General features: G+C 40.0%; 1 annotated feature.

The window, feature by feature from the left end:
- Positions 11,837-12,131: an enhancer, noted in NCBI's record as "tiled region #7236; HepG2 Activating non-DNase unmatched - State 10:DNaseD, and K562 Activating non-DNase unmatched - State 24:Quies". NCBI's record gives its function as "activates a minimal TATA promoter and a strong SV40 promoter by Sharpr-MPRA in HepG2 and K562 cells {active_cell/tissue: HepG2 | K562}" and the evidence as "EXISTENCE:reporter gene assay evidence [ECO:0000049][PMID:27701403]".

A 12,676-nucleotide genomic window follows, 5' to 3' on the forward strand; every position in this document is an offset into this window, starting at 1 on the left:
CTTAATTTTAATAAAGGAATTATTTTCTCCTATAGTCAGCATTCTTTGTGTTTTATTTAAGAGATCTTTGTGTACACCAAATTCGTTAAGATATTTTTTCTGTTTTCACCTCAAATTTATTGTTTTATCTTTTATCTTAGTATATACAGTCCATCTATAATTGATTTATTTTGCCTGGAATGAGGTAAACATTCTCCCAACATGTACATCTAATTAACCCAGCACAACTTACTGGAAAGAACATATTTTTGCTGCCATATTTGTGTCAACTTTGTCATAAATTATATGACCACCTAGTGTGGGTCTCTCTTCTGCTCTATTTGTCTATTCTTGCCCCTCTACCACAGTGGCTTAATTACTATTGCTTTTAATAAGTCTTCATTTCTTGAAGTGTAAACAGTCCAGCCTTGTTTATTTGTGTGTGTGTGTGTGTGTGTGTGTGTGTGATTTCTTTTTATGTTTGCCTTGGCTGTTATTTGTCCTCTGAATTTTACGTATATTTTAGATTCAGTGTATCAATGTATAAAGAACATTCTTCCTGGATTTTGATTGGAATTGCATTGCTATGTGCATTTTTAAAGTCTTAAACAAACTCTTCAGTTCCAAAAGTGGAGAGCTACTGAACCAGTGGTTCTCAAACTTTAACACATATCAGGATTGTGTAAAAGACTTGTTAAAACATAGATATACAAGTTACTGGGCTCCACCCCCAGTATTTCTGATTCAGTAGGTCTGGGCTGGAGCCAAAGAATTTGTATTTCCTGCAGTGCCGAAATAACAGTGATGGTACTTGAATACTTTTAGAAACATTGCTGTAAGCTGCAGGTCATAGACCATAGCTTCACAAACTCTTGTATTTCCTGCTATTTATCAAATCAAGTCATGGTAAGCTGATATTCCCAAAAGCTGATGAGTATCATAAAAGCCTATATTGCAGTTCTTATAAGCACATAAGCTGCATGGGCTATAGAACACATAAGTAGTAATCATGTTCTGACGAGTATAATACAGTGGCCAAACTTGATTTCATTTACACTGAGGGAAAATAAAATTGTGGATAAAGAATGAGTTCTTCCATGGAAAAATATAAAACTCTTTGCTGACTCCAAGAGCATTATTTATTCTCTTCCCTTGAGTTGAATTAGTCTTTCTATGAGCATTTATTATTTTAAAAATCTGTAACCAGACTAATGGTATTTCAGTCCTTATGCATTCTTCTGCATTAATATCATTCCAATGTAGTAACTCATACAGTGGACTTCTCACATACTGTATATAATATATACATATTATATATTATATACATTCAGATTAGTCCTTTTTGTAATAAAAATATAATATCATCTCTTGGAAACTTTGCTATTTGCTTTCTTGCTTATGCCTTTATATAATTATATTTATAAATCTGGCAGAAGAATGCAAAATGAAAAAAGACCCACTCCTGTTTTCAGACTTACAGTTTGTCCCAAACACTCAGTATTTTCTTCCTAGTGTCCTTTAATGCACCATTCCAAATATACCTATGCTATTAATAATTAACACTGCATACAGGAGAAAAAGTGTTCTGAATGACATACAGCAGCAAATCAAACCTCAGTGCTTGCTCCTAAGATGAGCGTCATGGGTGCAGAATCATTAATGCCCTTGAAAAAGTAAAAATCAGAATGATTTCACAATCATATTTCACAGGCCAGTTCCCTGGCACTGTAAGTCATTTCTCAGCAGAATGAGGGTGGAGATACTTCTCTCTATGTGGGAAAAATGAAAGTGCCATTTCTGACATGTTTCTAAAAATTTTCTTCAAATCTCCGACTTGGCCAAGTCTGTAACCTGGAATGTCATTTAAACTTATAAATCTCTTAGTGCACCACATTCATTTGATACTTAATCTCAGAGAGTGTAAGTGACTTCTGCAAAGTCATGATACTACATGGTCATAGACCTGAGCCAGGGACCCAATCTGACTCCCAGCACAGTTATCTTACCACTCCATGGTGCTGACTCCTACTATTTCCCCAGCTCTAACAACTGACAACACTTAGTATCTTTTTCCCATAGTTTTGTCACCCCCAAACATTAAGTAAACGGACATTCGAGGCTGTGAGGGCAAAATTATGAGAAGTTGGAACTCGGAAGCTGGTTTTTTATGGGATTTTACTAATTTTCCCTCTCTATTTGACTTTTCAAGTGAATCACACTTTTCTTCCTGTAACCTTCCTATTCAGGTATGATATTTGAAGTGGGTCATGTTACATACCTCCCTGTCCCCCTCCATCGACAACTTAACCTTTTCATTATTCAACATGAGCCTAATATTACAGTCATGAGAAATATTTTCCCCAAAACAATAGGTGCTACATGTCATATTCCTTGACATTCCTGCAAAGTTTCTCTTAATCCTCAAGTGTACTTTCTTGAAAGCCCACTTCAATAAACATCCCACCCCATTAAATATCTTAGAAGTAACTCCACACATATGAAAATGCTACAGCTCTTGTAGTTATATTTTGGTTAAAATTCAATTGAAGATCATTACCAATAATAACAATGACACCAATAAAACAAGAAAAATAATGCATGTCAATCACATATGTAAACAGGGACAAAAGGTTTAGTTTAAGTGGAATGGCATGTATTTATTAAATACATAAGGATTTTGTTATTAGAGGACAGATTTCTGATATCAAATGCAAAATATCTGAAGTTCAAACTTGCTAGTGAAAAGCCACTCTTGGGGTGAATGTAAAGACTATAATTCTCATTAATAATGGCTTCAGTTAATTATAAACCTTTTAATTAATAAATAACTCAAAGTTATGATATCGGTGTAAATAGAAAACCAGTCATATTATTTGCTGATTCTTTTTTTAAAATTTAAATATCAACCAGAATTACGGTCCTTTGTAATGACATAGATAGTTTATGTTCACATACATTTATTCTTAATATTCTGATATGTTAAAAAGCAGAATAATGAACATAAAATAGAAAATACAAATAAAAAACTAGAGGAAGATAATCAGAGTTTTTGTTACATGATATTTTGCTCTTATTTATACATTATAATATTTTCTGTAGCTTGTTCACATGTTGCTCATGCAAGTAGAATGTGCATCTCCAAACATTAGAGATCAGAGCTCTGCACAAAGTTAGTGTTTGATATGTGAAATAAGAATATTAAAAGCTTTTCAAAAATTGTTAAGTAACTGTGACATTTCAGAATTTTCTGGGTTTTATTTGCTACCCAAGAAAGAGCTAGCAATTTGTTAGCATTAAGAAGCACTTATCACTAAAGAATTCTCTCTAGTATTTACATGAGAATGGCCGAAGAATGTGATGCCATCATTGTGACAGCCTGACTTCACACCTCCTACTGACAAGATCCCAATTTGAGTGTCTGCTTCAGCTTTTGGACTAGAAAAGTCCATAGTTTTCTGTGGTCATTTGTACCTCATCATTTCAACTGTGAGCAAAAGAGAGACATGAAAGGAAGCTGACATTTTCACAAGAGATCATCAGATTTAATGAATCAAATTTAACGCAATATCTCACTTTCTTAGGAATATTTAGTCATTTCCATGCTACAACAAATGCAATTGATTGGAAAGCAATGGAGAAATGAGACTAAACACATTTTCTGTGGAGTAAAATGTTTCTAAATATTCCATTTCACTGACACTGAAATGCTAAACAGCTAAAGTTTTTCTTAATCTGGATTAGAAAATAACTTTTGCATTTCCCCCAAATTTTTCCTAAGATGGTTGTTATTTTGTAATTTTAATAGTGATCTTTGCCAGTATATAGAGAAGGGCTCATTTTATAAGTTGTTTGAGCAAATATCAATATGTGTATTGCTCACTCTAGGCAAATTAGATGGATTATGAGATTCAAGATTAACAGTCAGATACATTATGGGTGATTAATGCATGACAAAGGGTTAATCACAAGATTTCTTTTAAAAGTATGCATGTATAATATGTTTTGATAGACAGCAATAACATTACACACACCTTCCAATGAGACAGAAACAACGTAAGAATGTGCCTATCCTGAAATGAAAAATAAAATGAGAGTTTAACAAGTATTTCAGAAAAGTACCTTTAGCGTCTTTTTCTTCTCTTTCATTGGTTGATCTCGTTTCAGGTATACAATTATCATATGAATGAAAACTCTAGTTCATGGCACATAGTAAATGTTCAGTAAACAAATGTTATTTTAAAAGTTGAATAAAGAAACTTGAAATAATTATTTATTTAAATAAGAAAATGTTTATAATCTAAGTGGTACTTGTGCTGTTATATAAAAATCATTTCCTCATTTTAAAACAGTTTTGTGGTGTGCTTAATATTATACACCTTTGCCTATATGTGACTGTCAAATAACAGCTCTTTACTTTAGAGGCATTCCAAAGCTGCAGTTTAAGTAAATATTACATATGCTTTGAAGAGAATCCATTTTTCATGTAAAAGCAACTTTACCAACAACACCCCTACCAACACCCTCATCAGCTTATTTCCTGAACCGTTGCAATAGCTCTTTACCTGATACCCTTCCCTGTAATCTCCCCATACTCCAATTCAACCTTCCACTCAATGCGTGGTTAATCTTCCCAAGATCCTTCACGTAATACATTTTAATACATTTTAAAATCAAAACCATCATATATATTGCTAGAGGGTATACATTATTTTTTATAGTCCCCTCAAACTCTAGGATGCAGGAATGTGAACCAATGAGGTACTCAATAAATGGTGAATAACAGAGTGCACACTATCTGGTTTCAGTCCTGACTGTCCCTTATTAGCTATGTGCCCTGACTACTTAAGTCATAGAAGCTTCCGTGTCCTCTTTCCATAAATGAAGACAATAACAATATTTACCTTATAAGGTTATTCTGAAAATCAACCTGATAATTTATGTGAAGGGCTCAGCACTGTAGCAGTCATATAATAAGTTCTTGAGAATATTGCTATAGACTAGTTGCTACTAGTGTTAACAGGAAATTTTCTCGCAACTCTTCCCTGCCATGACCCGATCAAAAAGCGCACATACTCCCTACTATTTGTCTAATGTGGGTGGTTCCTACTCAGCTCAGCCCATTTTACTGACAATACATACTTTTTTGTCAGGCCTCTGAGCCCAAGCCAAGCCATCACATCCCCTATGACTTGCACGTATACATCCAGATGGCCTGAAGTAACTGAAGATCCACAAAAGAAGTAAAAATAGCCTTAACTGATGACATTCCACCATTGTGATTTGTTTCTGCCCCACCCAAACTGATCAATGTACTTTGTAATCTCCCCCACCCTTAAGAAGGTTCTCTGTAATTCTCTCCACCCTTGAGAATGTACTTTGTGAGATCCACCCCTGCCCGCAAAACATTGCTCCTAACTCCACCACCTATCCCAAAACCTATAAGAACTAATGACAATCCACCACCTTTTGCTGACTTTCTTTTCCGACTAAGCCCGCCTGCACCCAGGTGAAATAAACAGCCATGCTGCTCACACAAAGCCTGTTTGGTGGTCTCTTCACATGGACGCGCATGAAATTTGGTGCCGTGACTCAGATCGGAGGACCTCCCTTGGGAGATCAATCCCCTGTCCTCCTGTTGTTTGCTCCATGAGAAAGATCCACCTACGACCTCAGGTCCTCAGACCAACCAGCCCAAGAAACATCTCACCAATTTTAAATCGGGTAAGTGGCCTCTTCTTACTCTCTTCTCCAACCTCTCTCACTGTCCCTCATCCACTTTCTCCTTTCCACTCTTCAATCTCTCCCTTCTCTTAATTTCAATTCCTTTCATTTTCTGGTAGAGACAAAGGAGACACGTTTTATTCGTGGACCCAAAACTCCGGCGCCGGTCACGGACTAGGGAAGGCAGGCTTCCCTTGGTGTTTAATCATTGCAGGGACGCCTCTCTGATTATTCACCCAGGTTTCAGAGGTGTCAGACCACGCAGGGACGCCTGCCTTGGTCCTTCACCCTTAGCGGCAAGTCCTGCTTTTCTGGGGAAGGGGCAAGTACCCCAACCCCTTCTCTCGTGTCTCTACCCCTTCTCCGCCTTTCTGGGGGGCAATAAATCCCCAACCCTTTCTCCTTCACCCTGAGTGGCAAGTCCCACTTTCCTAGAGGAGAGGCAAGTACCTCAACCTCGTATCTCTGTGCCCCAATCCCTTATTTCCCCGCCCCAACCTCTTATCTCTGCACCCAATCCCTTATTTCCGCGCCCCAACCTCTTATATCTCTGCGCCCCAATCCCTTATTTCCAGGCCCCAACCTCTTATCTCTGTGTCCCAATCCCTTATTTCCATACCCCAACCTCTTATCTCTGCGCCCCATCCCTTATTTCCACACCCCGACCTCTTACCTCTGCGCCCCAACCCCTTATTTCTGCGCCCCAACCCCTTTCCCACTTCTCTGGAAGGTAAGAACCCCCGAACCCCTTCCCTCCATTTCTCTACTCTCTCTTTTCTCTAGGCTTGCTTCCTTCACTATGGGCAACCTTCCACCCTCCATTCCTCCTTCTTCTCCCTTAGCCTGTGTCCTCAAAAACTTAAAACCTCTTCAACTCTCACCTGACATAAAATCTAAGCATCTTATTTTCTTCTGCAATGCCGCTTGACCCCAATACAAACTCGACAGTAGTTCCAAACAGCCGGAAAATGGCACTTTCAATTTTTCCATCCTACAAGATCTAAATAATTCTTGTTGTAAAATGGGCAAATGGTCTGAGGTGCCTGACGTCCAGGCATTCTTTTACACATCAGTCCCTTCCTAGTCTCTGTGCCCAGTGCAACTCGTCCCATATCTTCCTTCTTTCCCTCCCGTCTGTCCCCTCAGTACCAACCCCAAGCATCGCTGAGTCTTTCTAATCTTCCTTTTCTACAAACCCATCTGACCTCTCCCCTCCTCCCCAGGCTGCTCCTCGCCAGGCTGAGCTAGGTCCCAATTCTTCCTCAGCCTCTGCTCCCCCACCCTATACTCTTTTTATCACCTCCCCTCCTAACACCTGGTCCGGCTTACAGTTTCCTTCTCTGACTAGCCCTCCCCCTCCTGCCCAGCAATTTACTCTTAAAAAGGTGGCTGGACCTAAAGGCATAGTCAAGGTTAATGCTCCTTTTTCTTTATCCCAAATCAGATAGCGTTTAGGCTCTTTTTCATCAAATATAAAAATCCAGCCCAGTTCATGACTTGTTTGGCAGCAACCCTGAGACACTTTACAGCCCTATACCCTAAAAGGTCAAAAGGCCGTCTTATTCTCAAAATACATTTTATTACCCAATCTGCTCCCGACATTAAATAAAACTCCAAAAATTAAATTCCGGCCCTCAAACCCCACAACAGGATTTAATTAACCTCGCCTTCAAGGTGTACAATAATAGAAAAAAGTGGCAATTCCTTGCCTCCACTGTGAGACAAACCCCAGCCACATCTCCAGCACACAAGAACTTCCAAATGCCTGAACCGCAGTGGCCAGGCGTTCCTCCAGAACCTCCTCCCCCAGGAGCTTGCTACAAGTGCCAGAAATCTGGCCACCAGGCCAAGGAATGCCTGCAGCCCAGGATTCCTCATAAGCCATGTCCCATCTGTGTGGGACCCCACTGAATATCGGACTGTTCAACTCACCTGGCAGCCACTCCCAGAGCCCCTGGAACTCTGGCCCAAGGATCTCTGACTCCTTCCCAGATCTTCTCGGCTTAGCGGCTAAAGACTAACGCTGCCTGATCACCTCGGAAGCCCCAGAAACCATCACGGACGCCGAGCATCAGGTAACTCTCACAGTGGAAGGTAAGTCCATCCCCTTCTTAATCAATACGGAGGCTACCCACTCCACATTACCTTATTTTCAAGGGCCTGTTTCCCTTGCCTCCATAACTGTTGTGGGTATTGACAGCCAGGCTTCTAAACCTCTTAAAACTCCCCAACTCTGGTGCCAACTTAGACAATAGTCTTTTAAGCACTCCTTTTTAGTTATCCCCACCTGCCCAGTTCCCTTATTAGGGCGAGCCACTTTAACTAAATTATCTGCTTCCCTGACTATTCCTGGATTACAGCTACATCTCATTGCCGCCCTTCTTCCCAATCCAAAGCCTCCTTTGCTTCCTCCTCTTGTATTCCCCCACTTTAACCCACAAGTAAAAGGTACCTCTACTCCCTCCTTGGCGACTGATCACGCACCCCTTACCATCTCATTAAAACCTCATCACCCTTACCCCGATCAATGCCAATATCCCATCCCACAGCAAGCTTTGAAAGGGTTAAAGCCTGTTATCACTCACCTGCTACAGCATGGCCTTTTAAAGCCTATAAACTCTCCTTACAATTCCCCCATTTTACCTGTCCTAAAACCAGGCAAGCCTAACAAGTTAGTTCAGAATCTGCCCCTTATCAACCAAATTGTTTTGCCTATCCACCCCGTGGTGCCAAACCCATATCCTCTCCTATCCTCAATACCTCCCTCTACTACTCATTATTCTGTTCTGGATCTCAAACATGCTTTCTTTGCTATTCCTTTGCACCCTTCATCCCAGCCTCTCTTTGCTTTCACTTAGACGACCCTGACACCCATTAGGCTCAGCAAATTACCCGGGCTGTACTGCCGCAAGGCTTCACAGACAGCCCCCATTACTTCAGTCAAGCCCAGATTTCATCCTCATCTGTTACCTATCTCAGCATAATTCTCATAAAAACACACGTGCTTTCCCTGCTTATCATGTCTGATTAATCTCCCAAACCTCAATCCCTTACCAAACAACAACTCCTTTCCTTCCTAGGCATGGTTAGTGCGGTCAGAATTCTTACACAAGAGCCAGGACCACACCCTGTAGCCTTTCTGTGCAAACAACTTGACCTTACTGTTTTAGCCTAGCCATCATGTCTCTGTGCAGCAGCTGCTGCCACCCTAATACTTTTAGAGGCCCTCAAAATCACAAACTATGCTCAACTCACTCTCTACATTTCTCATAACTTCCAAAATCTATTTTCTTCCTCATACCTGACGCATATACTTTCTGCGCCCCGGCTCCTTCAGCTGTACTCACTCTTTGTTAAGTCCCACAATTACCATTGTTCCTGGCCCGGACTTCAATCCGGCCTCCCACATTATTCCTGATACCACACCTGACCCCCATGACTGTATCTCTCTGATCCACCTGACATTCACCCCATTTCCCCACATTTCCTTCTTCCCTGTTTCTCACCCTGATCACACTTAGTTTATTGATGGCAGTTCCACCAGGCCTAATCGCCACACACCAGCAAAGGCAGGCTAAGCTATAGTACAAACCACTGGCCCACCTCTTAGAACCTCTCATTTCCTTTCCATCATGGAAATCTATCCTCAAGGAAATCACTTCTCAGTGTTCCATCTGCTATTCTACTACTCCTCAGGGATTATTTAGGCCCCCTCCCTTCCCTAAATATCAAGCTCGAGGATTTGCCCCCACCCAGGCCTGGCAAATTAGCTTTACTCAACACGCCCCGAGTCAGATAACTAAAATACCTCTTAGTCTAAGTAGACACTTTCATTACATAAATAGAGGCCTTTCCTACAGGGTCTGAGAAGGCCACCACAGTCATTTCTTCCCTTCTGTCAGACATAATTCCTCAGTTTAGCCTTCCCACCTCTATACAGTCTGATAACAGACCAGCCTTAATTAGTCAAATCAGCCAAGCAGGTTTTCAGGCTCTTAGTATTCAGTGAAACCTTTATATACCTTACTGTCCTCCATCTTCAAGGAAAGTAGAATGGACTAAAATCTTTTAAAAACACACCTCACCAAGCTCAGCCACTAACTTAAAAAGGACTGGACAATACTTTTACCACTTTCCCTTCTCAGAAGTCGGACCTGTCCTCAGAATGCTACAAGGTACAGCCCATTTAAGCTCCTGTGTAGACGCTCCTTTTTATTAGGCCCCAGTCTCTCATTCGACACCAGACCAACTTAGACTGTGCCCCAAAAAACTTGTCATCCCTACTATCTTCTGTCTAGTCATACTCCTATTCACCGTTCTCAACTACTCATACATGCCCTGCTCTTGTTTACACTGTTTCTCCAAGCCATCAGAGCTGATATCTCCCGGTGCTATCCCCAAACTGCCACTCTAAACTCTTGAAGTAAATAAATAATCTTTGCTGGCAGAACTATGCTGAATCTCCTTAGGCACTCTCTAATGAGATGTCCTAGGTCCTCCCAATTCTTAGACCTTTTATACCTGTTTTTCTCCTCTTATTCCATTTAGTTCCTCAATTCACCCAAAACCGTATCCAGGCCATCACCAATAATTCTATATGACAAATGTTTCTTCTAACATCCCCACAATATCACCCCTTACCACAAGATCTCCCTTCAGCTTAATCTCTCCCACTGTACGTTCCCACGCCGCCCCTAATCCTGCTGGAAGCAGCCCTGAGAAACATCGCCCATTCTCTCTCCATACCACCCCCCAAAAATTTTTGCCACCCCAACACTTCAACACTATTTTGTTTTATTTTTCTTATTAATATAAGAAGGCAGGAATGTCAGGCCTCTGAGCTCAAGCCAAGCCATCGCATCCCCTATGACTTGCACATATGCATCCAGATGGCCTGAAGTAACTCAAGATCCACAAAAGAAGTAAAAATAGCCTTAACTGATGACATTCCACCATTGTGATTTGTTTCTGCCCCACCCAAACTGATCAATGTACTTTGTAATCTCCCCCACCCTTAAGAAGGTTCTTTGTAATTCTCCCCACCCTTGAGAATGTACTTTGTGAGATCCACCCCTGCCCGCAAAACATTGCTCCTAACTCCACCGCCTATCCCAAAACCTATAAGAACTAATGATAATCCACCACCTTTTGCTGACTTTTTTTCGGACTCAGCCCGCCTGCACCCAGGTGAAATAAACAGCCATGTTGCTCACACAAAGCCTGTTTTTGGTGGTCTCTTCACACGGACGTGCATGAAATTTTTCATATGAAATTATCCAATATTTTATTTTTTAAGTAATGCTTAATTTATTATTTAAAATGAGATGGAAGCCAGAGAAAATATTTTCCTCTCTATGGTCATTGTTAGTTTCATGATAAACAGTTGACAATAGTTTTTTAGGCCATGGAATTGGGTAAGTGGAAGCCATGCAGGAGAAAAGATCAGAATGGACTAAGTGTGATAGCCATAGCAGATAGGTTTGCAGAAGCTGTTGGGGCAGCCCTTCTGGAATTTCCTAACAGTGACTGCCTTTGGTATATGGGAGGTGAGCTGTGGAGGGTTTACTATACTAATAGCTATCTAGGATAAATTTCTCATTCTTCCTCTCGTGTTGCTGTTGTGATATTCATTGCTGGTTTTTGTTTGCTTGTTCGTTTCCTAGATCCACCCACCCATGGTAGGTATGGAGATGTGGCAAAGCAATCTGAAAAGCAATGTACTATAGTAAGATTTGAAGAATTTCTCTGCTTCCTCAATTTGAAATACAGAATAACATATAATGTTTGTAGCTCATTCATGCCTAATAAAATTTTTAAAAGTAAACTTTGTATTGTATAATTTTGGGGAGTTCACTTGAAACAGGATAGGTGAAAAATTGCCTTTTTTGTGTATATCTGTGTGTTCTCATTCATAAGGCTTTTTTGTTGTTATCTAGGGATTAAAAAACAGACTTTTTAAAGTCAGAATGACAAAATATTAATATATATTATCATGTATTTTTAAAAATTTAACTCTATCAAGGAAATCCCTCCAAGTTTTTGAAGAAATGTTCACATTTACTGTAAGTGTGGAATTTTAGAATAGCAAAATTGTTAATTATTAATTTAATATATTATCCACTATCGTAGTCTTGCTTTATCTGCAGTTTTCACTTTCCGTGGGTTTCAGTTACTCACAGTTAACTATGGTCTGAAAATATTAAATGAAAAAATTCCAGAAATAATTTATAAATTTTAAACTGTGCACCATTCTGAGTAGCACAGTGAAATCTGGCTCCCTTCCACTGGGACATGAGTCATCCCTTTGTCTAGCATATTCACGTGGTCTACCCTACCCCTGAGTTATCAGATTGACTGCTGGGTATTGCAGTGTTTGTGTTCAAGTAACCCTTATTTTATTTAATAATGGCCCCAAAGTGCAAAAATAGTGATGCTGGCTATTTGGATATGCCAAAAGGAAGCCAATTAAGTGCTTTCTGTAAGTGAAAATGTGAAAGTTCTCAAATTAAGGAAAGAAACAAATCTTATGCTGAGGTTGCTAAGATCTACCTTAAGAACTTATCTTCTGTCCGTGAAGTAGTAAGAAAGGAAAAAGAAATTCATGCTAGTTTTGCTGTCACATCTCAAACCGTAATGACTGTGGCCATAGTGTGTGATAAATTCTTAGTTAAGATGAAAAAGTCATAAAACTTGTGGGTGAAACACTAATGGCAATCAAGTTCACTATTATTCATGATTTCAGACATTCACTGGAGGTCTTGTAACATATCCTGTTGCGGGAAGTCAGGGACCCCAAACGGAGGGACCCGCTGAAGCCATGGCAGAAGAACGTGGATTGTGAAGATTTCATGGACATTTATTAGTTCCTCAAATTAATACTTTTGTAATTTCTTATGCCTGTCTTTACTGCAATCTCTAAACATAAATTGTAAAGATTTCGTGGACACTTATCACTTCCCCAATCAATACCCTTGTG

The sequence above is a fragment of the Homo sapiens genome, chromosome 3, assembly GCF_000001405.40.
Source record: "Homo sapiens chromosome 3, GRCh38.p14 Primary Assembly".
NCBI classification, from domain to species: domain Eukaryota; kingdom Metazoa; phylum Chordata; class Mammalia; order Primates; family Hominidae; genus Homo; species Homo sapiens.